The sequence below is a fragment of the Homo sapiens genome, chromosome 19, assembly GCF_000001405.40.
Source record: "Homo sapiens chromosome 19, GRCh38.p14 Primary Assembly".
NCBI lineage: Eukaryota > Metazoa > Chordata > Mammalia > Primates > Hominidae > Homo > Homo sapiens.
The window spans coordinates 8,489,192-8,514,484 of record NC_000019.10 but is presented as its reverse complement, the minus strand read 5'-3'; the positions used below and the strand labels follow the sequence as shown (position 1 = coordinate 8,514,484).

General features: G+C 57.9%; 2 protein-coding genes across 6 annotated transcripts, besides 9 other annotated features; both read left to right on the top strand.

The window, feature by feature from the left end:
- Nucleotides 308–617: a silencer, noted in NCBI's record as "silent region_10030". NCBI's record gives its function as "represses an Ori minimal core promoter by ATAC-STARR-seq in GM12878 lymphoblastoid cells {active_cell/tissue: GM12878}" and the evidence as "EXISTENCE:reporter gene assay evidence [ECO:0000049][PMID:35858748]".
- On the top strand, nucleotides 318–4,807 carry ZNF414 (zinc finger protein 414). 2 transcript variants are annotated; one of them, NM_001146175.2, is made up of 8 exons: nucleotides 318–441; nucleotides 1,144–1,456; nucleotides 1,774–1,881; nucleotides 1,993–2,098; nucleotides 2,525–2,868; nucleotides 2,949–2,999; nucleotides 3,461–3,634; nucleotides 3,721–4,807. In NM_001146175.2, the coding sequence occupies exons 1-8, from the start codon at nucleotides 439–441 to the stop codon at nucleotides 3,792–3,794; spliced, it is 1,173 nt and encodes a 390-aa protein (NP_001139647.1). In that variant the 5' UTR covers nucleotides 318–438; the 3' UTR covers nucleotides 3,795–4,807. The 2 variants fall into 2 exon arrangements, with proteins under 2 accessions (NP_001139647.1, NP_115746.2); NM_032370.3 differs by lacking the exons at nucleotides 3,461–3,634; nucleotides 3,721–4,807 and having other exon boundaries at nucleotides 2,949–3,150.
- Nucleotides 2,196–3,086: an enhancer, noted in NCBI's record as "H3K27ac-H3K4me1 hESC enhancer chr19:8576283-8577173 (GRCh37/hg19 assembly coordinates)". NCBI's record gives its function as "activates a minimal SCP1, AML or CMV promoter by ChIP-STARR-seq in naive H9 embryonic stem cells {active_cell/tissue: H9 hESC(naive)}" and the evidence as "EXISTENCE:reporter gene assay evidence [ECO:0000049][PMID:30033119]".
- Nucleotides 7,554–8,140: an enhancer, noted in NCBI's record as "H3K4me1 hESC enhancer chr19:8571229-8571815 (GRCh37/hg19 assembly coordinates)". NCBI's record gives its function as "activates a minimal SCP1, AML or CMV promoter by ChIP-STARR-seq in naive H9 embryonic stem cells {active_cell/tissue: H9 hESC(naive)}" and the evidence as "EXISTENCE:reporter gene assay evidence [ECO:0000049][PMID:30033119]".
- Nucleotides 8,180–8,680: an enhancer, noted in NCBI's record as "H3K4me1 hESC enhancer chr19:8570689-8571189 (GRCh37/hg19 assembly coordinates)". NCBI's record gives its function as "activates a minimal SCP1, AML or CMV promoter by ChIP-STARR-seq in naive H9 embryonic stem cells {active_cell/tissue: H9 hESC(naive)}" and the evidence as "EXISTENCE:reporter gene assay evidence [ECO:0000049][PMID:30033119]".
- Nucleotides 8,180–8,693: a biological region, named in NCBI's record as "H3K4me1 hESC enhancer GRCh37_chr19:8570689-8571189".
- Nucleotides 8,224–8,483: a silencer, noted in NCBI's record as "silent region_10029". NCBI's record gives its function as "represses an Ori minimal core promoter by ATAC-STARR-seq in GM12878 lymphoblastoid cells {active_cell/tissue: GM12878}" and the evidence as "EXISTENCE:reporter gene assay evidence [ECO:0000049][PMID:35858748]".
- Nucleotides 8,594–8,693: a silencer, noted in NCBI's record as "silent region_10028". NCBI's record gives its function as "represses an Ori minimal core promoter by ATAC-STARR-seq in GM12878 lymphoblastoid cells {active_cell/tissue: GM12878}" and the evidence as "EXISTENCE:reporter gene assay evidence [ECO:0000049][PMID:35858748]".
- Nucleotides 8,714–8,763: a silencer, noted in NCBI's record as "silent region_10027". NCBI's record gives its function as "represses an Ori minimal core promoter by ATAC-STARR-seq in GM12878 lymphoblastoid cells {active_cell/tissue: GM12878}" and the evidence as "EXISTENCE:reporter gene assay evidence [ECO:0000049][PMID:35858748]".
- On the top strand, nucleotides 11,845–24,429 carry PRAM1 (PML-RARA regulated adaptor molecule 1). Of its 4 annotated transcripts, none has more exons than NM_032152.5 (10): nucleotides 11,845–11,920; nucleotides 14,705–16,109; nucleotides 16,196–16,262; nucleotides 16,645–16,721; nucleotides 23,328–23,385; nucleotides 23,490–23,598; nucleotides 23,729–23,891; nucleotides 23,976–24,009; nucleotides 24,113–24,147; nucleotides 24,259–24,429. In NM_032152.5, exons 1-10 carry the CDS (start codon nucleotides 11,894–11,896, stop codon nucleotides 24,294–24,296), a joined length of 2,013 nt encoding a protein of 670 aa, NP_115528.4. In that variant the 5' UTR covers nucleotides 11,845–11,893; the 3' UTR covers nucleotides 24,297–24,429. The 4 variants fall into 4 exon arrangements, with proteins under 4 accessions (NP_115528.4, XP_005272559.1, XP_011526655.1 ...); XM_011528353.3 differs by lacking the exon at nucleotides 11,845–11,920 and adding an exon at nucleotides 14,284–14,373; XM_005272502.3 differs by having other exon boundaries at nucleotides 24,113–24,429.
- Nucleotides 15,290–15,976: an enhancer, noted in NCBI's record as "H3K27ac-H3K4me1 hESC enhancer chr19:8563393-8564079 (GRCh37/hg19 assembly coordinates)". NCBI's record gives its function as "activates a minimal SCP1, AML or CMV promoter by ChIP-STARR-seq in naive H9 embryonic stem cells {active_cell/tissue: H9 hESC(naive)}" and the evidence as "EXISTENCE:reporter gene assay evidence [ECO:0000049][PMID:30033119]".

Below are 25,293 nucleotides of genomic sequence, written 5' to 3'. Positions count from 1 at the left end.
TTAAACTCCAGCCTGAGCAACAAGAGCGAAACTCTGTCTCAAAAAAAAATAAAAAATATAAAGAAAGAACTGCTGTTTATCGCCTGTCCAGGGCTGATCTTGGGACAAGACTAGAGGGATGAAGGTGCCCACTTTGAAGACTAGGACAGCGAGGTCATCCCGGATCTCCGTGCACGGAGTCTGCTGAAGTGCGCGCTGACTGCCCGGGGATAGATAGCAAGATTGCACCAGCGTCCGACCTGAGCTCCAGGGTGACTCTGCCCTCAGGCCCCGCCCCCTCTCCGAGCGCCCTGCGCAGGCCCCGCCCCCAGTCTCGCGAGAGCTGAGAGGTGGAAAATGGCGCTGACGTGAGCGCGAACTCGCACTGCCCAGAGGGTGGCCGCCGCCTAAGCTGCAGCCGCCGGAGCCGCAGAAACAAGAGGCCGAGCCGTGTCGAAGATGGTGAGCGCGGCACCGGGGTCGCGGGCGCGGCGGAGCTGCGGGGACTGGCGGGGAGCGGCCCTGTCGCGCCTACAGCCTCCGGCCGACCCCGCCCCCACATCCGGGCACCCGTCCGCCGCTGGCTGTCACTCGGAGAGCGCCCTACTTCCGGGCCCGGCCCGGAATGGACCACGCCCGTCAGGCTAGGACTCCGCCCCTAAACTTCTTACATCCGGGCCCCCAGCACCTCCAAGATTGTCCACACTGCTCGAGGCCGGCCGGTCTCGGTCCTCAGACAATCCATGTCTAGCTCCTCTAGCATCTTCCCAGTCCATGCCTGCCCATAGCCCCGCCTCCGTAGCCTTGGCCCCGCCCACTCCCTCTAGGCCACGCTTGTGTGCATACTGGGGCTCCCACCTATCCTAGTTGAGGAGAGCAGATGTTTCTCCCGTATGCATAAGGAGCTCAATCCGGGCCAGTGCAGTGGCTGACGACTCTAATCCCAGCACTTTGGGAGGCTGAGGCAGGAGGATCACTTGAGACCAGGGGTTCAAGACCAGTGAGGGCAACATGGCGAGACCCCATCTTTATAAAAAGAAAAAAAGAGCTTAGTCCACCCTTACGTATTCCCCTATCCTCTCCTGCTGGTGATTCCTTAGGATGGGGGCCGACTGGGTTGACCCAGAGCCCAGAAGGGTTCTCTCCGCCTCTTCCTTCCACCAGGAGGAGAAACCCTCAGGGCCCATCCCAGACATGCTGGCCACTGCAGAGCCCAGCTCCAGTGAGACCGACAAGGAGGTGTTGTCCCCGGCTGTGCCAGCTGCAGCCCCTTCCTCCTCCATGTCGGAGGAGCCAGGCCCTGAGCAGGCAGCCACACCGCCAGTGTGGGAACGTGGAGGGGCTGGAGGGATGCAGCAGGGCTCCTCCCCAGCCCCAGACAGCTGCCAGCCTGGCCCCGGACCCAGCCCTGGCCTGACCAGCATAGTCTCCGGGACCAGCGAGGACCTGCGGCCTCCCAGACGACGCCCACCTCCAGGTGATCTGTGATGGGGTCTTCTGGGGAATCACAGTCCCTGAAACAATAGAAGCGAGACGTAGAGAATCTCTAACCTCAGGGCCTTTCTAGAGGGATGCCACTCATCATTTTACGGAGCAGCCGGTGGATGCCAGGCTGTGGCTCCAATGGTGAGCCTGGCCAGTCCAGCCCCTGCACTGTGGCAGACCAGTCTGTTGTGGTAGGCAGAGAGTAAAGGCCCCAGCACATCATATTTGCTTCTCTGGGGCAGAACCCTGGGGTCAGGGACAGCACTAGTGAGGAAGGGACCAGTGACCACTGTTCTGTGCGTCCTGCAGGGAAGCAAATCCCTTGCTCCAGCCCTGGCTGCTGCCTCAGTTTTCCCAGCGTCCGTGACCTGGCACAGCATCTGCGAACCCACTGCCCGCCCACACAGTCCCTGGAAGGTAGGGCCAGGACTGGTAATGGGGAGGCAGGTTAGGGTGGGAAACAGGCGGAGCCCCTCGGAGCCAGCCTTGGCCACCTGTCTCCACTTCTCTGTCCTTCATCCCTACCAGGCAAGCTCTTCCGCTGCTCAGCCCTGAGCTGCACCGAGACCTTCCCCAGCATGCAGGAGCTGGTGGCTCACAGCAAACTGCACTACAAACCCAATCGCTACTTCAAGTGAGACCCTGACCTCTTGAGCTCCGCCCTGCCCTAGCCTCACCCTATGTGTGGGCTCCAGGCCTTCCTCCCTTCCTGGTCAGGGTGTTGGAGGGCGGGACTTGATGTGGGTGGGCCTTTGGGGAAGCCCCGCCCTCAACTCCCTGGATGGGGCGGGGCATACGTGGGCGTGGCCCCACCCAGCCAGGCTTTACCTCCCAAGTGGAAAACCGGCCGCCTAACTTAAAATTGAGACTTCTTTCCGGGTTTCCCCAGGTTCCCACCCGAAGTGGTCAGGAAGGGTCGCTGCCACAGTTGTACAGGAGCGGGGAGGTGATTAGTGCCCAGGCTCCGTTCCCACGCTCGAAGGGCGGGTGGCATTGCACAGGACACTCTCCCTGGTGCCCCTGGAGGCCCAGCCCAGCCCAGCCCTCTGCCCACCTCCAGGTGTGAGAACTGCCTCCTGCGCTTCCGCACGCACCGCTCGCTCTTCAAGCACCTGCATGTTTGCGCGGAGCATGCGCAGAGCCCAGCCCCGCCGCCACCCCCGGCCCTGGACCGAGAGCCGCCCGCGCCGGAGCGCCCCCCGGAGGTTGACCCCGCATCAGCGCCGGGCCTGCCGTTCCCGCTGCTGGAACCCTTCACGACCCCCGCCCCTGCCCCCACCGGACCGTTCCTGCCCTACTTGAACCCTGCGCCCTTTGGCCTAAGCCCCCCGCGCCTGCGCCCCTTCCTGGCCGCTGCACCCGGGCCGCCGGCTTCCAGCGCCGCCGTCTGGAAAAAGAGCCAAGGTGAGTGTGGGGTCGGGGGCCTCCAGGAGGGCTGGCTGGGCTCGCCCTGACTCTGAACTTGACCCGCCCCTTTACCGCAGGTGCTGGCAGCAGCCCCCGAAGACCCCAGGGCGGCTCCGACGCGCCCTCAGGTGCGTGCAGGTGACCACCAGGGAGGGGTGGAGGGGCTTTCTTTCCTGCGCCCTGCGGGGTCTGGTGGATACCAGGAGGCAGCAGTGCTCATCCCCTTCCCAGGGGGCACAAATGCCACCGTCCCGAAATACAGGATTTTTGCCTTAAAAATGACTGGCACCTGCGCCTTCATCTGCGCCGGCGTTCCCGTATAAACCTTGCGCCCCTTTCACCGTTCACCTCGGAGCGGGCTTCTCCCCAACAGTGAATCTGGGGATGATAGTAGGGGACGCGGAGAAGCCAAGTTGGGTGCCCCCAACTCTAGGGGCAGACAGACCCGGGAGAAACTGAACTAGGCGCCCGGAAGCTGATGGGGGGCGGGAAAAAGTCCCACCCACCCTCGCCGGCGTCCTCCATCCTTGGCGCACGGGTCTTCTGGGCTGGGGGAGCCCGGGACTGACGGGGTCCCGCCTGCCCGCAGGGCACGCGGCCCCGAGCCGCATCGTGTGGGAGCACACACGCGGCCGCTACTCGTGCATGCAGTGCGCCTTCTCCACGGCCTCGCGGCCCGCCATGACCCTGCACCTGGAGGACCACCGCCCCGGCGCCCCCGCGGCCCCCGCGGCCGGGCCGCCGCGCCCCGACGCCCCCGCGGGTAAGGCCGAGGAATGCGCGGGTGGAGAGGGGGGCGGGGGCCCAAGGCGCTGAGGCTCAGGCGCCCCCCTCCTCTGCCCCACCCAGATCCGGCCCCGCTTGCACCCAAGGTGTCGCCGCTGCTGTCAGAGGGGGAGCTTCCAGTGTTCTCGCAGCTCTGAATCCCGCCGCTTTGGGGGTGGGCCATGGGATGTGGGTAGTTTTGTCATTTGGAGGGGGCTGCAGGGAAGGGGGGCTGGGGTGGACAATAAAGAAGGCGCCATGAGCCAGCCTATGCTGTGTTCCCATCCCTTGTCCATCCAAAGCATAGTGGGCTCGAGCCCAGCAGTCATGGATTGATCACATCTTGGGAGGACCACCTGGGTCCACAGGTGCAGGCCTCACAGCCCACCTGTGTCCTGTCTTCCCATCACCCCAATCCTGGGACCCAGGTCCCCACCTCCAGCTGTGGTTGAGGTCCCCAGTACCCACTGTGGCAGCGTTCTCCCTTGTCCAGAAACCAAATGGGATGGGGACTCTCCAGTTTTCTTTTTTTTTTTTTTTCTTTTTTTTTTTTTCTTTTTTGAGACAGTCTTGCTCTGTCTCCCAGGCCGGAGTGCAGTGGCACAATCTCCTCTCACTGCAAGCTCCACCTCCTGGGTTCACGCCATTCTCCTGCTTCAGCCTCCCAAGTAGCTGGGATTACAGGTGCCCACCACTATGCCCGGCTAATTTTTTGTATTTTTAATAGAGATGGAGTTTCACCGCGTTAGCCAGGATGGTCTCGATCTCCTGACCTCATGATCCGCCCGCCTTAGACTCCCAAAGTGCTGGAATTACAGGCGTGAGCCACCACGCCCGGTCTCCAGTTTTCTTTTAAGAAGTCCCGGCCGGGCACAGTGGCTCACGCCTGTAATCCCAGCACTTTGGGAGGCTGGGGCAGGTGGAGCACCTGAGGTCAGGAGTTCGAGACCAGCCTGACTTACATGGTAAAACCCCATCTCTACTAAACACAAAAAATTAGCCAGGTGTGGTGGCGCACACCTGTAGTCCCAGCTACTTGGGAGGCTGAGGCAGGAGAATCACTTGAACCTGGGAGGTGGAAGTTGCAGTGAGCTGAGATTGTGCTATTGCACTCCAGTCTGGGCAATACGAGTGGAACTCCATCTCAAAAATAAAGAAAATTAAAAAGCAATCCCGTAACCAGGAGAGGTGACTAATGTCTGCAGTCTCAGTGCTTTAGGAAGCTGAGGCAGGAGGGGCGCCTCAGGCCAGGAGTTCGAGACCAGCTTGGGCAACCTAGCAAGATCGCATCTCTACCTCCCCGCCCACCAAAAAAAATACAAAAAATAATCAGGCATGGCTGGGCATGGTGGCTCATGCTTGTAATCCTAGCACTTTGGGAGGCCGAAGTGGGTGGATCACTTGAGGTCAGGAGTTGGAGACTAGCCTGGCCAACATGGTGAAACCCCATCTCTACTAAAAATATGAAAATTAGTCGGGCATGGTGGTGGGCACCTATAATCCCAGCTACTCGGGAGCCTGAGGCAGGAGAATCGCTTGAACCCGGTGGGATGGAGGTTGCAGTGAGCCGAGATCAAGACCCTGCACTCCAGCCTGGGTGATAGAGTGAAACTCTGTCTTAAAAAAAAAAAAAAAAAAAAATAGCCGTGGTGGCTACCTGGGAGGCTGAGGCAGGAGGATCACGAGCACAGCAGTTCAAGGCTGCAGTGAGCCATCATCACACCATTGCAACCCCAGCCTGGGAGACAAAAAAAGAAAAAATCCCAGGAGCTTCGGGGACAGGCTGGAAGGCTGGTCCTGAGAAAGTGCAGGGACTGGCCAGGATGGCCTGAAGACCCCCAGACCCTGAACCCCATACTGACTTAAGGGGAAGAATCCTTTGGGATTGGGGAGGCAGGCTGGGGACTCAGGTCTTCATCCTCCTTGCTGTCTGCCAGACCAATTTCCACCATGTCCCAGCTCTGAGGAGTGGGGTGGGTCAAGGCCAGCCCTCCATGGCCTGGTCTTTCTCCTCACCCCTGAAGCCAGCCTCCCAGGTATGGAAGTCCCAGGTGATATCCACAGCCATCCCTTGGAAGCTGGTTTTACCTCCATGATCCCTCTCCCTTCTATCCTCATCTCGCCAGCCCCAGGGTCCCCTAGCCCACCCCCTACTCTCCCCAACCTGCCCTTACCCCAAGACTGAAAACAGAAAACAGTCTCTTCTTCCTCTTTTTATTTTATTTATTTTTTTTTTTTTGGAGACAGAGTCTCGCCGGAGTGCAATGGCAGTGCCAGGCTGGAGTGCAATGGTACACTCTCAGCTCTCACTGCAACCTCCGCCTTCTGGGTTCACATGATTCTCCTGCCTCAGCCTCCAAGTAGCTGGGATTACAGGCGCCTGCCACCACCCCGGCTAACTTTTTGTATTTTTAGTAGCGATGAGGTTTCAACATGTTGGTCAGGCTGGTCTCGAACTCCTGACCTCAGGTGATCGACCCACCTTGGCCTCCCAAAGTACTGGGATTACAAGTGTGAGCCACCACGCCCTGCCAGGGTCTCTTCTGATTGTTCCCCTCTCCTGCCCGGCACCCTTCAGTGGCTTCCCATGGCCCTCTGGATGAAGATCCTGTTCTCCCAGTAGCCCACAAGGCCCTACCTTGAACCTCTCGGTCCCCTCCCAGAACAACACTCACTGTCTCCCTCATCCTCCTGGATATACAGACATCCTGTGAGCAAGAACCCAGGGACCTCCTTCACGCAGTCCACCTTGTCTCAATCCTTACCTCCTCCTCCTTTCTCCATTCTCTGAATCCACTTCGGGGTTCCCCCTCACCTCCTCATCCTGGTATCTGCAGCCGAGACACCAGTAACCCCTGGGCGGGGCCCCCAGACCCCACTCCTCCGTCACTGCCCTCCCACCTTCTCCTTGCCCCCCGCCACCCTCCTTGTTGTCTTCCTCAGATTTTTTTTTTTTTTTTTTTTTTGGAAGATGGAGTCTCGCACTGTCACCCAGGCTGGAGTGCAGTGGCACCATCTCAGCTCACTGCAGCCTCCGCCTCCCAGGTTCACACCATTCTCCTGCCTGAGCCTCCCAAGTAGCTGGGATTACAGGTGCCCTCCACCATGCCTGGCTAATTTTTTGTATTTTTAGTAGAGATGGGGTTTCAGCATGTTGGCGAGGCTGGTCTCGAACTCTTGACCTCATGATCCGCCCGCCTCGGCCTCCCAAAGTGCTGGGATTACAGGCGTGATCCACCGCACCTATCTTCCTTGGACTTTTCATCCACCAACGTGTCCACCTCAGGCTCTGAGTCAAAGCCATCCAGGTAGACAAGCCAAGGGCCACCTGCCCCACACCTGCTCAGTGCCATGTCACCTCAAAGATGGACAGCTCTGGGCTCCAGAAGCCCTTCAGCCACTGCAAGGGGCAGGAGGGGATCCTCAGGCCCTTGGGACCCGTCTGTCTGCCCCACTGCCCACCGCCTCACCAGGGGCCTGAAGACTGCTCTGTCCTTGATGGGGCTGTGATGTGACGGGGCAGCAGCCTCAGCTGACGTGGCTTGGGCTGGGTGTCCACTCTCCCAGAACCTGTAGGCCCCAGCTGAGGTGGTTGTCAGGATGGGGTAGGACAGGCCATCAGGAGGCCCCCTAAGCTCCCCCTTCTCAGCCAGAAGCCTTGAAACCACCACTGTGGGACCCTGGAAAAGAGTCGACTTCCCTGCCTCCCAATTCCCTCGTCCTTAAAAGGGTGTCATGATGACTGGTGAGTCCTTTGGGGTGGACGCGAGGATGAAAAGAGAGGCTGCAGGGAGAGGAGGGGCTTGGGAAATGTCTGCTGAGAACTTCACGTCCCGAGCCCATGGCTGCCTGGGACTCTCTCGACCTGGGGAGGAGGGTGGGACAGGGTGAAGGGGCCCATTTTACAGATATATAGAGAAGGTGAGGCTAGGAGGCCTCTAGCCAGCCCCAGTTCCCAGTCAGCGGCACTGATTCTGCACCATCTTGGGAGCTGCGCACGGTTACCACGAGAAGAGAAAACCCTGCCAGCAGGTCCAGAGGACACGCCCCTGTTCCCGCATTCTGCAGGTCCCTAGATCTGGCTGTAGTCCAAGCCTCTCCCCCATCTCCAGGGACAGCGCTGTGTTCTCTGTCCCCCAGGCCCCTAACCCCTCTCCAGGGTCCCGGGGGCCCCCAGGAGTCTTTGTCCCCATCAGTTTCTTTATTCGGCCACCCCCAGATCTAGGCCACGCCTCTTCCCAGTCTGTCAGTATCTTTCCAGAGAAACCTAGAGCCAACACGTCCGTCCAGGGACCTCTCCCCTACCCCATCACCCACGGAGATGGGACAGCCCTTCCTGTGTGTACAGCGGGCCCACGGCCACCACACTACCCTCTGGAGTGAACTGACTGCCGCGAGGCCTGGGGAGCTGGCTCACCACCTGTCCTCCACCGTTCACCCTGTCCACTGCAGAAACGACCTCCTACCCTCAAGCCGGCCCCCAACCCCCATGCACAGGAGCCCAGCCCTCTTGGGCCCCGGCTCCGCCCAGCAGGGGGCGCCCAGGAATCTCAGACTCGGGGGAATGAAAGCCGGGAGAGCAGTGGGGATAGCGGGCAGGTTGGCTGGAAGCCGCGGGCTCGCGCTGAACAGCTCTGAGGCCGGCCAGAGGCCCGTGCCCGGCATTTGTCCAGCCCCAGCTGTCACTTGCAGGTGCCGGTCCGGTTACCCTCATTGCGGGCCAGGAGCGGGGAGGTGGAGGGCGCCCTGCGGCCCTGGGATCCGCCGCCCACGTGCTCCCCGGGCTCCTCCCCCTGCACACCGTTGTTCGCGTTTCCGACCCCGCAGATTCCCCAAGGCGCGCCCTAACGAACTCTCACTCCCCTGGTCCGGGCTCCCTTCTCCGGGATTCCGGTAACCCTATCTGTCCCTGTCTGCAGCCGCGCCGCGCGGAACCCTGCCGGGAGCCCCTACGGAGGCGCCAAATACACAAAGGGTAGTTGGCGGGGAGGCGCACCATGACTACAGCTCCGGGACCTGCGCTTCACCCCCACGGCGCCCCCGTGGGGCCTTGGTGCGCGCGCCCTGGCTGGACCCTCCTAGCTGCGAGAGTGCACGGGTAGTGACCAGCCCAGGCACCTGGGAATCCATCAGCTGTCATCCAATCCTTTAATTACCTTGATTGAGCTCCTTACTGTGGCCAAGCATTGCTTGATTTATTTATTTACTTATTTTTATTATTTAATTTAATTTTTTTTTTTTTGAGACGGTGTCTCGCCTTGTCACCCAGGTTGGAGTGCAATGGCGCAATCTCAGCTCACTGCAACCTCCGCCTCCCGGGTTCAAGCGATTCTCCCGCCTCAGCCTCCCAGGTACCTGGGATTACAGGTGTGCACAAACAGTATTTTTAGTAGAGACAGGGTTTCATCATGTTGGCCAGGCTGCTCTCGAACTCCTGACCTCAGGTGATACGCCCGCCTGGCCTCCCAAACTTCTGGGATTACAGGCGTCAGCCACCGCGCCTGGCCACTTGTTCTTTCTTTCATTCTTTCCTTCACTTGCCAAGGTTCTGGAGACCCACAGAGAGCCCATACTGTCCTCCCGAGACTCCTTTTTGGGAGGGCAACCCACATCTGGGAACTGTGCCCCAGGACAGGATGCAAAGGCACAACAGAGATGGCAGAATCCTGATGTCTGTGCTCTTAAAGGAGGCGTGAAAACAGGCAGGCCAGGCGCAGTGACTAAGGCCTGTAATCCCAGCACTTTGGGAGGCCCACGTGGGTAGATTGCTTGAGGTCAGGAGTTTGAGACCAGCCTGGCCAATGGTGACACCCCAGCTCTGCTAAAAATCCAGAAAATTAGCCGGGCATGTTGGCAGGCACCTGTAATCCCAGCTACTTGAAGCCGGGAGGCAGCCTGGGAGACAGAGCAAGACTTTGTCTCAAAAAAAAAATTTTAAAATGTTTTAAAAATACTTGCTCGGGCCACACCCCAGACTGATTAAGTCAGAGTTTCTTGTAGGTTCTGTTTTTTGTTTTGTTTTTTTTTAGATGGAGTTTTGCTCTGTCACCCAGACTGGAGTGCAGTGGAGCCATCTCGTCTCACTGCAACCTCCGCCTCCTGGGTTCAAGCAATTCTCCTGCCTCAGCCTCCCAAGTAGCCAAGATTACAGGCATGCGCCACCACGCCGAGCTAATTTTTGTATTTTTAGTAGAGATGGGGTTTCTCCATGTTGCCCAGGCTGGTCTTGAACTCCCAACCTCAGGTGATCAACCTCAGGTGATCCACCCGACTCAGCCTCCCAAAGTGCTGGGATTACAGGCGTGAGCCACACTGCCCAACCGCCGGTTCTTTTTTTTTTTTTTTTAACTGTTCAGGCAATTCCAACATGTGCTCAAACTGAAAACCAGGGCTCTCTACTCTCTTAGCAGGTGTTTTCTCCCTTTGTCTACCGTGACGGAGATTACTGATCTCCTGTGGGCTGAGCTCTGTGGTCAGGGCTTGTCCTTATCTGGCCAGTCCTCGGCACCACAAGTGACTGCCTTCACCCCCTCTTGGCCCCTGTCTCTGTCTCCTGGTTCCTCTTCTCTCTACTACCTCTAACCTCTGGGAATCTGGTGTGTCCTCGGGTCCTCAGACCCCCTCACTCCTCCAGAACTGCAAAGCCTTTTTTTTTTTTTTTTTTTGAGATGGAGTCTCTCTCTGTCACCCAGCATGGAGTACAGTGGCGTGATCTTGACTCTGCAACCTCCGCCTTCAGGGTTCAAGTGATTCTCCCACCCCAGCCTCCCAAGCAGCTGGGACCACAGGCGTGCACCATCACACCTGGCTAATTTTATATTTTTTGTAGAGATGGAGTCTTGCTACATTGCCCAAGCTGGTCTTGAACTCCTGGGCTCAAGTGATCCTCCTGCCTCAGCCTCCCAAAGTGTTAGGATTACAGGCGTGAGCCACCGTGCGTGGCCCAGGTGCAAGGCCTTTGACACCACTCACCCACCGACCCCCAAATCTGCTGTACCAGCTAAGCTTTCTGCCCAGGGCGGCAGCCTGGGACATCCATGGCCTGTGATATCTGCCCCAGAACAAGTGAGTCCTGCTCAGAGCCGGGAATTGGATTTCATGGAAGTGTTGAAATGAGGAAGGCGGATGAGCCAACCAGGGCAGACAGCAGAGGCCTCACCCGGTCACATGGGCCCCCACGTCCTGGGCCTCTGGGCCTCCCCAGGAGCCTCCTAAACCCCAGAGCTGTCCGTACCCCTGATCTGCTGAGATCTCCCCATCCTGTGGCTCTCTAGCCCAGGAGGTCACCAGGGCCTGGCATGGAGTCCTCCCTGGAGTCCAGAGATGGGGACACCAAAGTAGTAGGAATGATGGGGACTATAGAGAGTAAGAAACTAGTTGGCCAGGCGTGGTTGCTCACGCCTGTAGTCCCAGCACTTTGGGAGGCCGAGGCGGGCAGATCATCTGAGGTTGGGAGTTTGAGACCAGCCTGACCAACATGGTGAAACCCCGTCTCTACTAAAAATACAAAAAATTAGCCGGCAGTGGTGGCACATGCATGTAATTCCAGCTACTCAGGAGACTGAGGCAGGACAATCGCTTGAACCTGGGAGGCGGAGGTTGCAGTGAGTCGAGATTGCGCCACTACACTCCAGCCTGGGCAACAAAGTGATACCCCGTCTCAAAAAAAAAAAAAAAAAAAAAAAAAAGAAAGAAACTAGTGACCATGTTAGGAACATGCGGGCAACCAGTGCCCCAAGCTTGGGACAGTAGCAGGCAGGACAGGAATTCAAGCGAAATAGAAGTGCCCAGCAGGGGCCGGGGCAGTGGCTCACACCTGTAATCCCAGCACTTTGGTAGGCCGAGGCGGACCGATCCCTTGAGGTCAGGAGTTTGAGACCAGCCTGCCCAACATGGTGAAACCCCTTCTCTACTAAAGATACGAAAAGTAGCCAGGAGCGGTGGTGCGCGCCTGTAATCCCAGCTACTCAGGAGGTTGATGCAAAAGAATTGCCTGAACCCGGGAGGCAGAGGTTGCAGTGAGCCGAGATGGCACCATGGCACTCCAGCCTGGGCGACAGAGCAAGACTCAGTCTCAAAAAAAAAGAAGTGGCTGGCAGGATCTGGAGACGGACTGGAGCCTCCCCACCTCCTTCCCTTCCTCCTCTGCCCTCCCCCGCCCCACCTCTAGCAGCCCCCACCCTGTGTGCTGACCGTGGAGCAGAAGCCACAGTCACTTCCTGAAGGCAGCGGCCCCAGCTCGGGTCCCACTCATCCCATGGCCCATCACCTGCCTGCAGCCATGGTGAGTGCTGGAAGAGGCCTGTGCCTCACTGGCTGGGAAGCAAGGGACACAGATGTTCCCAGAAGGATAGGATCCACCTGTGGAGGGGCGGGCGGGGGGGCGGGGGGTGGCTGCGAAAGACATCTGGGAAACGGGAAGGGTCGGCAAAAAGGACCCGAGGTAGGCGGCCACCAGGCACACCCCAGGACAGCGCGGGCTCCTGGGGGTTCACGCTCAGGTTGGGACTGCGAGGGGGACAGATGGGACTCCCCGGGGGGACAACTCCCGTCTCCCCAGGTCAACATGAGCAGCCATGTGGGAACGGGCTGCTGGGGTGAGAGCAGTGCTTTCCTGCGGGGTGACAAAGTGGGTCATGACCCTCCCCCGTCCAGTCACCCAAGTTGTGACCTGCTAACCCTGACTTATCTAGCCCTGTGGTCGCCCGGGAGCACTTCCTTCAAACCACTCGGGGCTTTGACAGGGGCACTTCAGGCCCCAGGTGGGAATTGCTGCCTTTCCAAGGAGCAATCCTGGTCTCTGGTCCTCTGGATGGGGAAAGTGAGGCACACGCAGGAAGCAAAGGCCACACGTTTCTGCCCTTTCCCTCCCCCAATCTCCTTGACCACAGGTGAAAGGGGCGTTTGTAGGACTAAGGAGGCCTGGCCTTCTTGTGAATCTGCCTACCTCTGTGAGGAGTGGTTGCAGGGCCAGCTAGGAGGGCAGCTGGGACAGCTGGGTATGCAGGAGACAGCGCCTGTGCCCACGGTGTCTGCACCAATCCTCTCAGGCACTGTCAACTGTGAGCATTCCTGACCATCAGCCCGCATGTCAGAGACGGTGTGAGAGGGACCGCATGGCCGTCTCCAGGCATCTCTGTGTTTTCCTGATGGTCAGGCTGAGTACATGGCTGTCTTTGTGCTGCCTGAATATTGTTTATTTCAGCAAATATTTACTGAGCACCTACCATGTTCCAGGCCCTGGGAAGACAGCAATGAATGAGCCAAGTCTCTGCCTTGCAGAGGCTGAGGAACTGAGGGAAGTTGTGGTGTAGAGAGACAAAAAAAAAAAAAAAAAAAAATCAAGACACATTAAAAACAATGTAAAATAGTATAATACGTAGGGGTGGGTACGATGGAGAAAATCATGCATGCTGAATGCAGGGCAGTAGTGGGATGGGGTGATCCATTTAAAATAGGGTGGTCTAGGCCAGGCGTGATGGCTCATGCACTTTGGGAGGCCGAGGTGGGTGGATCACTTGAGGTCAGGAGTTCGAGACCAGCCTGGCCAACATGGTAAAACCCTGTTTCCATTAAAAATACAAAAAAAATTAGCCAGGCGTCGTGGCAGACACCTGTGATCCCAGCTACTCAGGAGGCTGAGAATCGCTTGAACCCAGGAGGCGGAGGTTGCAGTATGGCGAGATTCCACCACTGCATTCCAACCTGGGTGACAGAGTGAGACTCCGTCTCAAAAAAAAAAAAAAAAAAGAAAGAAAGAAAAATAGGGTGGTCTAGGTTGGGCACGGTGGCTCACACCTGTAATCCCAGCACTTTGGGAGGCTGAGGCGGGTGGAGGGTGGATCACCTGAGGTCGTGAGTTTGAGACCAGCCTGGCCAACGTGGTGAAACCCTGTCTCTAGTTAAAATACAAAAATTAGCCAGGTGTGGTGGCGAGTGCCTGTAATCCCAGCTACTTGGGCGGCTGAGGCACGAGAATCATTTGAACCTGGGAAGTGGAGATTGCAGTGAGCCGAGATCGCGCCATTGCACTCCAGTCTGGGTGACAGAGCAAGACTCCATCTCAAAAAATAAAAATAAACAAATAGGGTGGCCTTGGATGGCCTCTCTAATAAGAAAATATGAGAACAGAGGCTGGGAGGAGGAAAAGGAGAGACCCAGGTGGTGCAGAGACATGTCCTGGGTCAGGGACAGGGCAGAGGCCCCGAGGTCGGAGGGAAGTGTTCAGGGTGCAGGGAGGAGAAGGTGGCTGGGTAGGGAGGCTGGTTCGCCCAGGCTTTTATGAGGCATTTAGCTTGAACTGTGGGGACATGAGGAAGCATTGCCGAGTTTTGAGCAGAGGGACACAAACAGACTCAGGGTTCAACAGGCTTCTCCCTCCAGCTGCCATGGGGGGAACTGACCAGGGAAGGGGGTAGGCAGAGGCCCAGGGAAGGGCTTGTTAGAGTAATCCAGGCAATTGGTTGGGGGAGGGCAGACACTGCCTCCCACTACCTCCTGGGGTGACAGTGGTGAAGGCAGTGAGAAGTGGTTGGATTCCGGATGTGTTTTGAAATTAGCACAGAAGGGACTGGGGGCCTGGGCGCGGCGGCTCAAGCCTGTAATCCCAGCTACTGGGGAGGCCGAGGTCGGGGGAATCATTGGAGCCCAGGAGTTGCAAGCTGCAGTGAGCTATGATTGCACCACTGCTCTCCAGCCTGGGCAATGGAACGAGACTGGAGACATGCAGTGGGAGGGGTGAAAGAATGAGGGGGTCAAGGATGCTGGGGGGGTGGGGTACCACCCATGGGGGGAGGGCAGTGGGACTGGAGGCTGCAGGAGGGATGTCGGGATCTCCAGTGCTGCTAGAGGAGGTTGGGTGTGGAATCAGCACTAAATGGAGAAGTAGGGAGGGGTGTCGGTCCCAGGATCCTAGGATCCATGGGGGCTCCTGGGAAAGAGCTGAGGGCTGACCGGGCCTGGGCGCAGGGGTGGTGGTTGTGGGCTGTGCCTGAGGGTCCCCAGGCCCATCCTTCCATGCCCCTTCTGTGTGTTTGAGCCCCTGCCTCATTGGCTCTGCGTCTCCTAGGAGAGCCATCAGGACTTCCGGAGCATCAAAGCAAAGTTCCAGGCCTCTCAGCCGGAGCCCAGCGACCTGCCCAAAAAACCTCCGAAGCCTGAGTTTGGTAAACTGAAGAAGTTCTCCCAGCCTGAGCTAAGCGAGCACCCCAAGAAGGCCCCGCTGCCTGAGTTTGGTGCAGTGTCCTTGAAGCCCCCGCCGCCTGAGGTCACTGACCTCCCCAAGAAGCCCCCGCCGCCTGAGGTCACTGACCTCCCCAAGAAGCCCCCGCCGCCTGAGGTCACTGACCTCCCCAAGAAGCCCCCGCCGCCTGAGGTCACTGACCTCCCCAAGAAGCCGTCCAAACTGGAGTTGAGTGACCTCTCCAAGAAGTTCCCACAGCTGGGGGCCACTCCGTTTCCAAGGAAGCCCCTGCAGCCTGAGGTCGGTGAGGCCCCTTTGAAGGCCTCGCTGCCGGAGCCTGGTGCGCCGGCCCGGAAACCCCTGCAGCCCGACGAACTCAGTCACCCCGCCAGACCCCCCTCCGAACCCAAATCCGGCGCATTCCCCAGGAAGCTCTGGCAACCCGAGGCCGGTGAGGCTACCCCGAGGTCCCCGCAGCCTGAGTTGAGTACCTTTCCCAAGAAGCCTGCGCAGCCTGAGTTCAACGTGTACCCCAAAAAGCCTCCGCAGCCTCAGGTCGGTGGCCTCCCTAAGAAGTCCGTGCCGCAGCCTGAGTTCAGCGAGGCCGCTCAGACTCCCCTCTGGAAGCCTCAGTCCAGCGAGCCGAAGCGCGACTCCAGCGCCTTTCCCAAAAAGGCCTCCCAGCCTCCGCTGAGTGACTTTCCCAAGAAGCCTCCGCAGCCTGAGCTTGGGGACCTCACCAGGACCTCCTCAGAGCCCGAAGTCAGCGTGCTTCCCAAGAGGCCGCGGCCGGCCGAATTCAAAGCGCTCTCCAAGAAGCCCCCGCAGCCCGAGCTGGGCGGCCTCCCCAGGACCTCCTCAGAGCCCGAGTTCAACTCACTCCCCAGGAAGCTGCTGCAGCCGGAGCGCCGGGGGCCACCCCGCAAGTTCTCACAGCCTGAGCCCAGCGCTGTCCTCAAGAGACACCCGCAGCCTGAGTTCTTCGGTGATCTCCCTCGAAAGCCTCCACTCCCCAGCTCCGCTTCCGAGAGCTCACTGCCTGCGGCCGTGGCCGGCTTCAGCTCCCGGCACCCGCTCAGCCCTGGGTTTGGAGCGGCTGGGACACCCCGCTGGAGGTCAGGAGGCCTGGTTCACAGTGGAGGGGCCAGGCCAGGCCTCAGACCCAGCCATCCACCCCGGCGGAGGCCTCTGCCCCCTGCCAGCAGCCTGGGACACCCTCCAGCCAAGCCCCCGCTGCCCCCGGGGCCCGTGGATATGCAGAGCTTTCGGAGACCCTCTGCAGCATCCATAGGTGGGTGAGGGCGGGCGGCACCGGCAGGAGCGGGGGCTGAGGTCCCAGGCAGTGCCGGCTTCCCTGCCCTACTCTCTACCCCACAGATCTACGGAGGACCCGCTCGGCCGCTGGGCTCCACTTCCAGGACCGACAGCCTGAAGACATCCCGCAGTGAGTGTGGGGAGGAAGCGGAGGTGGGTGCGGATTGTGGGGCTCAAAGAGGCCTCATCTCGGCCTGGAGCTCCCAGAACTTCGGGAGGCTGAAGTGGGCGGATCTCCTGAAGTCAGGAGTTCGACAACAGCCTGGCCAACGTGGTGAAACCCCGTCTACTAAAAATACAAAAATTAGCCCGGTGTGGTGGGGGGCACCTGTAATCCCAGCTACTTGGGAGGCTGAGGCAGGAGAATCGCTTGAACCCGGGAGGTGGAGGCTGCAGTGAGCCCGAGATCATGCCCCTGCACCACTCCAGCCTGGGCAACAGAGAAAAACTCCGTCTCAAAAAAAAAAAAAAAAAAAAAAAAAGAAGAGGCCTCATCTCAGGTATCCCCGCAGGGTCCCAGATGAGATCTACGAGCTGTATGACGATGTGGAACCCAGAGATGACTCCAGCCCCAGCCCCAAGGGCAGAGGTTTGTTGGTGGCCTGCCCGAGTCCCTGCAAAACATTCGGGGCAAGGCCATTTTCTGCCATGCTCCTGGTGTAAGAGCAAGTAACATTTTAGGACCTGCTGGCTCCTGCTGGGTGGAACTACATAAGGGGAGCCCAGAGGCGAAGGACCAGTGAGAAGGCTGTTGTAGGCAGAGGTGTGGCCCAGGTTGGCAGCAGGAGATGTGGGAGCAGTGGGTGAATTCAGTAATCAAAAGCAGGCATCAGGCCGGGTGCAGTGGCTCATGCCTGTAATCCCAGAGCTTTGGGAGCCCGAGGCAGGAGGATCGTTTGAGCCAATCCCAGGGCTTTGTGAGGCCAAGACAGGAGGATCCCGTAAGCCCAAGATTCCAGACCAGTCTGGGCCACAGAGCGAGACCTCATCTCTACAAAAAAACTTAAAAATCAGCCAGGTGTGACAAGCATCTGTAGTCCCAGCTATTTGGGATGCTGAGACAAGAGGATTGCTTGAGTCCAGGAGGTCGAGACTGCAGACTGCAGTGAGGCTGTGACTCCACCACTGTACTCCAGCCTGGGCAGCAAACACCCTGTCTCAAAAAAAAAAAAAAAAAAAGCAGGATTTGGTGGTATATAAAGCAGGGAAGTTTCAAGCCTAGCACCCAAGGGCATGACAGAGCCGCCCCTGGGTTGACGACAAGATGTTAGGTTCCATTCATTCATCCATCCATCCATCCATCCATTCATTTATTTATTTATTTTTTGAGATGGAGTCTCGCTCTGTCACCCAGGCTGTAGTGCAGTGGAGCAATCTCAGCTCACTGCAAGCTCCGCCTCCCGGGTTCATGCCATTCTCCTGCCTCAGCCTCCCCAGTAGCTGGGACTACAGGCACCCACCACCGCGCCCAGCTAATTTTTTTGTATTTTTAGTAGAGATGGGGTTTCACCGTGGTCTCGATCTCCTGACCTCGTGATCCACCTGCCTTGGCCTCCCAAAGTGCTGGGATTACAGGCGTGAGCCACCACGCCTGACCCTTATTTATTTATGTATTCGTTTTTTTGTTTGAGATGGAGGCTCGCTCTGTTGCCCAGACTGGAGTGCAGTGCCGTGATCTTGGCTAACTGCAACCTCTGCCTTCCGTGTTCAAGCGATTCTCCTGTCCCACCCTCTGGAGTAGCTGGGATTACAGGCACGTGCCACCAAGCCCAGCTACTTTTTGTATTTTTAGTAGATATGGGGTTTCACCATGTTGGCTAGGCTGGTCTCAAGCTCCTGACCTCAAACGATCCACCCACCTTAGCCTCCACAAGTGCTGGGATTACAGTCATGAGCCACCGCGCCCGGCCTTATATTTTTATTTTTTATTTTTTTGGAGACACAGTCTCGCTCTGTTATCGCCCAGGCTGGAGTGTAGTGGTGCCATCTCAGCTCACTGCAACCTCTGCCTCTTGGATTCAAGCGATTCTCCTGCCTCAGCCTCCCAAGTAGCTGGGATTACAGGCGCCCACCACCATGCCTAGTTAATTTTTGTATTTTTAGTAGAGCTGGGGTTTCACTACATTGGCCAGGCTGGCCTTGAACTCCTGACCTCGTGATCCGCCCACCTCAGCCTACCAAAGTGCTGAGATTTCAGGCGTGAGCCACCACGCCCAGCCTGATTTACTTAGACCTGTTGTGTTCAAGGTAGCTGAGGGGATGTCCAGGCAGAACTTGGGCCTGAAACTCAGGGGGAGGTGTGGCCTGCAGGCAGGTGTGGCAGTGGCAGGGGAGGGAGGCTGCCAAAGGTTTCTTAGAAGTTTGTGCTGGGTGAATAGGGAGCAGGCCCGCACCTCCTGCCCAGCTCCACAGTTAATGCCTTCATGAAAACACAAGCAGCTTCCAGGCAAGCACCTTGCCTGCCTGTCCCTAAATCTGTACCCTCCACTCCCTGCATGTCCCTAAATCTGTCCTTAAATCCGTACCCTCCACTCCAAAGTTAATGCCTTCATGAAAACACAAGCAGCTTCCAGGGAAGCACCTTGCCTGCCTGTCCCTAAATCTGTACGCTCCACTCCCTGCATGTCCCTAAATCTGTCCTTAAATCCGTCCTTAAATCCGTACCCTCCACTCCAAAGTTAATGCCTTCATGAAAACACAAGCAGCTTCCAGGCAAGCACCTTGCCTGCCTGTCCCTAAATCCGTACCCTCCACTCCCAAATCCCCACAGGGCAGTAAGGCAATGCACCCCCATTTTACAGATGCACAAGGCTGGCCCGGCGTGGCAGCTCACACCTGTCATCCCAGCAGTTTGGGAGGTCCGGTGGGCGGATCACTTGAGGTCAGGAGTTCCAGACCAGCCTGGCCCGCATGGCAAAAACCCATCTCTACTAAAAATAAAAAAACTAGCTGGGGCCGGGCGTGGTGGCTCACGCCTGTAATCCCAGCACTTTGGGAGGCCGAGGCGGGTGGATCACCTGAGGTCAGGAGTTCGAGACCAGCCTGAACAACATGGAGAAACCCCATCTCTACTAAAAATACAAAAATTCGCCAGGTGTGGTGGTGCGTGCCTGTAGTCCCAGCTACTAGAGAAGCTGAGGCAGGAGAATCGCGTGAACCTGGGAAGGAAGGGTTGCAGTGAGCCAAGATCACGCCATTGGACTCCAGCTTGGGCGACAGAGTGAGACTCAATCTCAAAAAAAAAAATGAGTCGGGCATGGTGGCATGCACCTGTCATCCCAGCTATTCGGAAGGCTGAGGTGGGAGAATTCCTTGAACCCGGGAGGTGGAGGTTGCAGTGAGCTGACATCGCGCCGCTGCACTCCAGCCTGGGTGACAGAGTGAGACTCTGTGTCTGTCTCAGTTGAAAAAAAAAAAAAAGGCCAGGCGCAGTGGCTCACGCCTGTAATCCCAGCACTTTGGGAGGCCAAGGCGGGTGGATTGCCTGATGTCAAGAGTTCAAGACCAGCCTGGCCAACATAGTGAAAACCTGTCTCTACTAAAAATACAAAAAATTAGCTGGGTGTGGTAGCAGGCGCCTGTAATCCCAGCTACTTGGGAGGCTGAGGCAGGAGAATCGCTTGAACCTGGGAGGCAGGGGTTGCAGTAAGCTGAGATCCTGCCATTGCACTCCAGCCTGGGTGACAGAGTGAGACTCCATCTCAAAAAAAAAAAAAGAAAAAAAAATAGGTACGCAAGGTTGAGGCTCTGGGATGGGGCTTGCCCTGGCTTGCACAGCTGGTCCACGAGCTGGATCTGTGGCAGGGCTTTCAGCGGGGGCCAGAGCTTGAGCTTCTAAGGTGCTCCTGCTCTCGCTGACAGCCTCAGAGGGCCTGGGGCAGAGAGGCCCCCTCTGCTTCTCCTGGGCTTTCTCCCTGAGCTTCTTGCAACACCTCCCTGTGAGCACACAGCTTCCTGGTGGGGCCCCTTCTGCTTCCGCTCTAGGGGAGGCTCTGTGGCTTGGGTCTGGGGGCCACCGTTGGGGATGCGGATGGCCAGGAGTGGGGCTGCTGAGCGCCTGGGCTAGTGACAGCCTGCCTCCAACCACTCCCAGAAGCCCTGCTGGAATCCCCCACCTCTTCCGAGGCTAGGAGCATCTGCCTCTCCTCAAACTTCATACAGTCCCCACCCTTGGCCCATTGTTCCTGTCACCAAATAACCTTCTCCCCCTTCCTTGCCAGTCATTTGAGGTTCTGATAGGAAAAAAGAAAAAAGGGGCCGGGCGCGGTGGCTCATGCCTAAAATCCCAGTTCTTTGGGAGGTGGAGGCAGGCGGATCAGTTGAGGTTGGGAGTTCGAGACCAGCCTGGCCAACATGGTGAAACCCCGTCTCTACTAAAAATACAAAAATTAGTTGGACATGGTGTTGCACACCTGTAGTCCCAGCTTCTGGGGAGGCTGAGGTGGGAGGATCGCTTGAATCCAGGAGATGGAGGCTGCAATGAGCCGAGATTGCACCTCTGCACTCCAGCCTGGGCAACAGAACGAGACCCTGTCTCAAGAAAAAAAGAAAAAAAAAAAGGTCCCACTTCCCTGGATCTCCCGCTTCTCAGGAGTGGCGTGGGCTTCTCACTGTGGGTGCAGCTTCTCAAAGGCAGCTTAGGTCTCTTGGGGCCAGGACTCTGGACTCCCCTTTCCCACTGTCTGCCTTACTTGGAGCAGTGGCAGCTCCACTGCAGAGGTTCCTGGAAGGCAGGGGGCTCCTCTGCAGGTGGGGAGAGCCCAGCCTTTCCCAGGGATCTGAGCTGGCCATGCGGGGAAGGCGGGCAGAGGCCTGCTCTGGGTCAGCTGTGGATGAACCAGGGCTGCCTGCATGGCGGTGCCAAGAGGTGCTCTAATGTGGCGGGTTTGCAGGGACCCTGGAGTGCCAAGGTCAGGTTCGCTCCTGGTGGAGTGACTGCTCACGGCCAGGGAAGCCTCTGAGAGGCAGGAGCAGCTGGAGGGGCTGTGTGTTCCAGGTGAGACTGTGGATGGCCATGCCTGGTATCTGGCGGGCACGATTCAGGTGCTGCTCCTTGGGCTGCTTGGAGGGACTACAGGCCTGAAATGTCCGGCGGGATACTTTGAGCCATTCGGAAAGGACATGCTGGGGCTCTGGGTTCTGGATCTTTCACTCACCAGGGTTCCTGGGGCTCCCACCTGAAGCCAATTCCTTGGCCAGCAGGGCTCTGACTTGGGAGCCTGGTCATTTGCCAGGAAGTGGCACAGGGAGACTGGCACCATGGGAGACCCCTCAGTCCAGAGTCTCATCATCAGTCACCAGTCCAGGACGCTTACCCTAGCAGCATCTTTTAAAAATTATTTTTATTTACTATTTTGAGACAGGGTCCTGGTCTGTCGCCCAGGCTGGAGTGCAGCGGCGCCATCTTGACTCACTGCAACCTCCAGCTCCCAGGTTCCGGCGATTCTCCTGCCTCAGCCTCCTGAGTAGCTGGCATTATGGGCGCCCACCACCACACCCGTCTAATTTTTGTATTTTTAGTAGAGACAGGGTTTCACCATGTTGGCCAGGCTGCTGTCAAACTCCTGACCTCAAGTGATCTGCCCGACTTGGCCTCCCAAAGTGCTGGGATGACAGGCATGAGCCACCATGCCTGGCCATGATATTTTACTGTCAACTATCATTGCCCTCCTGTGCAATGGAACACCCAATTTCTTCTTCCTAACTGTAACTTTGTACCCATGGGCCAGCCTCTCCTCATCCTCCCTTCTGCCTTAGTTTTTCACCCAAATCTCATTACAGTAGAACCCCAGAACCTACCGGGTGCAGTGGCTCAGGCCTGTAATCCCAGCACTTTGGGAGGCTGAGGCAGGGGCATCACCTGAGGTCAGGAGTTAGAGACCAGCCTGGCCAACATGACGAAACCTCATCTGTACTAAAAATACAAAAATCAGCTGGGTGTGGCAGTGGGTGCTTATAATCCCAGCTACTCAGGATGCTGAGGCAGGAGAATCGCTTGAACCCAGGAGGCAGAGGTTGCAGTGAGCTGAGATCATGCCATTGCACTCCAGCCTGGGCAACAAGAATGAAACTCCGTCTCAAAAACAAAAACAAAAACAAAAGAAACAAAAAAAAAAACGGCTAGGCACGGTGGCTCACGCCTATAATCCCAGCACTTTGGGAGGCCGAGGCGGGTGGATCACCTGAGGTCAGGAGTTTGAGACCAGCCTGGCCAACATGGTGAAACCCGTCTCTACTAAAAATAAAAAAAAAAATTAGCCGGGTGTGGTGGCATGTGCCTGTAATCCCACCTACTTGGGAGGTTGAGGGAGGAGAATCGCTTGAACCCAGGAGGTGGAGGTTGCAGTGAGCTGAGATCGCGCCATTGCACACTCTAGCCTGGGCAACAAGAGCAAAACTCCGTCTCAAAAAATAAAAAAGAACCCTAGACCCAACTTGCTCTAGGAGGCAGAAGTGAAATGGCCTCGAAGCCTACAGATAAATCCTGCCTTTACCATTTACCAGCTGGGTGACCTTGGGCAGTTTGCTTGACCTCTCTGAGCCTTTATTTCCTTGTGGACAAGTTGGGCATGACAGTGGCGTCTACTGGCATGAACAAGGTTGCTGAGAGGGCTGCCATGAGGGGCGTGGCCCAGCAGTTCCCACCATGCTGAGCACGTGGCAGGAGTTAAGGGAATGGAAGGCAATCCAGAAGAACCCATGACCCCTGAGAAAGGCTTGCGGAAGAAGGTGGGCAGGGAGAGGTTTGGGAGGGGACCTGGTGGGATTTGGGGAGTCCTCAGAACTGACACAGGGAGGCCTTACTCAAGATCCAGCCACCTGCCAGGCGCAGTGGCTCACGCCTGTAATCCCAGCACTTTAGGAGGCCGAGGCGAGTGGATTGCCTGAGGTCAGGAGTTCAAGACCAGCCTGGCCCACATGGTGAAACCTGTCTGTGTTAAAAATACAAAAATCAGCCAGGTGTGGTGATGGACACCTGTAATCCCAGCTACTCGGGAGCCTGAGGTAGGAGAATCGCTTGAACCCAGGAGGCGAAGGTTGCAGTGAGCCGAGATTGTGCCATTGCACTCCAGCCTGGGTGACAGAGCAAGACTTCGTCTCAAAACAAAAACACAAAAACAAACAAAAAACAGCTACCAGGGTAAAGGCTGAGCCGGCGGGCCCTGCCTTGACTCGGAGTCCTGACTGTCCCCAGATGAAGCGCCCTCAGTTCAGCAAGCCGCCAGGAGGCCACCACAAGACCCAGCGCTCAGGTGCCATGGGCAGAGGGGGTGGGCAGACGGGGGGCGAGCTCCAGGAACCCCCAGAGGAGCACAACTTGCTCACGAGCACACAATTCCTTGGTGGGGGCTATCAGGAAGGAGAAGGATCCCCAGCCACAGCAGTTGCCACCCATGGACCCAAAGTTGCTGAAGCAGCTGAGGAAGGCAGAGAAGGCCGAGAGGGAGTTCCGGAAGAAGTTCAAGGTGAGGCCTCTGAGCTAAGCAGGAGTCCTGGCAGGGCGGAGACCAGGGTCCCACCGATCCCAGGCTCAGAAAGAAGACAGGGGCCCAAGGGCGGCAGCACAAGCAGAGGCCCTAACATCTCGCGCCCCAGTTTGAAGGGGAGATCGTGGTTCACACGAAGATGATGATCGACCCCAACGCTAAGACACGTCGCGGGGGTGGCAAGCACCTCGGGATCCGGCGCGGGGAGATCCTGGAGGTGATCGAGTTCACCAGCAATGAGGAGATGCTGTGCCGGGACCCCAAAGGCAAATGTGAGTGCGCCCGGCCCCGCAGCCCCGGGAGGTCCCCGCCGCCACCCTGGGCCTCAGAACCCACCATGCCCACTCTCTCCACAGATGGCTACGTGCCCAGAACAGCGCTCCTGCCCCTGTGAGTGCCAGCCCTGACCGTGGTGGGGGAGTGCGGGGTGTGTGGTGCAGGGTGGGGGGAATGGGCCACGGTGCCCCTTGCTGACCCAACTGTGCTCTGCCAGGGAGACGGAGGTGTACGATGATGTCGACTTCTGCGGTACGTGGACACTCTGGGAGGGCTGGAGGGACCCTGGCGATTCCCCGGGGGCGCTGCTCACTATTGGGCTTCTGGGGAGAGGGGTCCATGGAAGTCACGCTTCCTCGGCAGATCCCCTGGAAAACCAACCACTCCCCCTGGGACGGTAAGACCGGTAGGCGTGGGGCCAGGACAGCCAGCCAGCCCAGCGCCCGCTCACCCAGGAGCCCTGGATCCCGGCGCGGGAAAGTCACAGAGCTGCCTGGGCTTGTACCTGGCCACATAAAGCCCCAGTTTAAAGCAGTCCCTGCTTCTTGTCTTTTCTTTCCCTCCTGATTGGCACACAGTGGAGCAAAGGCACGGGAACCCCCTGACCAAACACAAAAGGGGGTGTGTCTGGGGTCACCCTGCCATGGTCTCACCCCTCAGGGATAAAAGCCAGTGGGGAGAAAAGGGTGGCAAGAAGCTGGTGAGCAAGGGGGGCTCCGGGTGATCAGAACAGCATGTGCTACCAGGCAGGCAGCCGGGCAGGACGCGCCCCTCCACAGCCAACAGAACAGCAGCAGCCAGGCCTCCTTGCCAGGTATGCACACCTGCTTGGCCTGAGTGGATCCTGAGAGCGCTTCACTGGGGGAAGGGGTGGGGCCTATACCCAATTCTGACAGAGCCCAGGTATCAATCAGATTTGGCCTGAGCCTCTGGCAGGACTGAACACGCATGGAAGGTGGCACACAGTTTGGTCTGTTTCAGCAGGAAAAAAAAAAAGCCAGAGAACAAGCCTGACTCAGGCAGGGCCTGTGCCCCAGGGCGTTAACTTCACAACAGGGAGACAGGATGGCTTTCGGGGGGCTTTTTTTTTTTTTTTTTTGAGACGGAGTCTTGCTCTGTTGCCCAGGCTGGAGTGCAGTGGCGCGATCTCACTCACTGCAACCTCCGCCTCCTGGGTTCGAGTGATTCTCCTGCCTCAGCCTCCTGAGTAGCTGGGACTACAGCCATGAACCACCGCGCCTGGCCTCAGAAGGCTCTAAACAGCCAAACGCTCCATTGTAAGCCGGGGGATTACAGCCCACAGGAAGGCAGTTTCCAGGGAAGAGTCTCCCCCCATCTGTGGGCAGGCACCCACCCCTGGGGCCTCAGACAAGCAAGAGAGGGGATGAGATCCCTGCT

Bases quoted from the DNA above. Each gene is read 5' to 3' on its own strand.
- PRAM1 (XM_011528352.3), top strand. From the start codon at position 14,341: ATGGAACGAGACTGGAGACATGCAGTGGGAGGG. The intron at 16,110-16,195 runs GTGGGTGAGGGC...TCTACCCCACAG, and splicing joins ACCCTCTGCAGCATCCATAG to ATCTACGGAGGACCCGCTCG. The intron at 23,892-23,975 runs GTGAGTGCGCCC...CTCTCTCCACAG, and splicing joins CCGGGACCCCAAAGGCAAAT to ATGGCTACGTGCCCAGAACA.
- ZNF414 (NM_001146175.2), top strand. The intron at 2,099-2,524 runs GTGAGACCCTGA...GCCCACCTCCAG, and splicing joins AAACCCAATCGCTACTTCAA to GTGTGAGAACTGCCTCCTGC. The intron at 2,869-2,948 runs GTGAGTGTGGGG...CCTTTACCGCAG, and splicing joins CGTCTGGAAAAAGAGCCAAG to GTGCTGGCAGCAGCCCCCGA.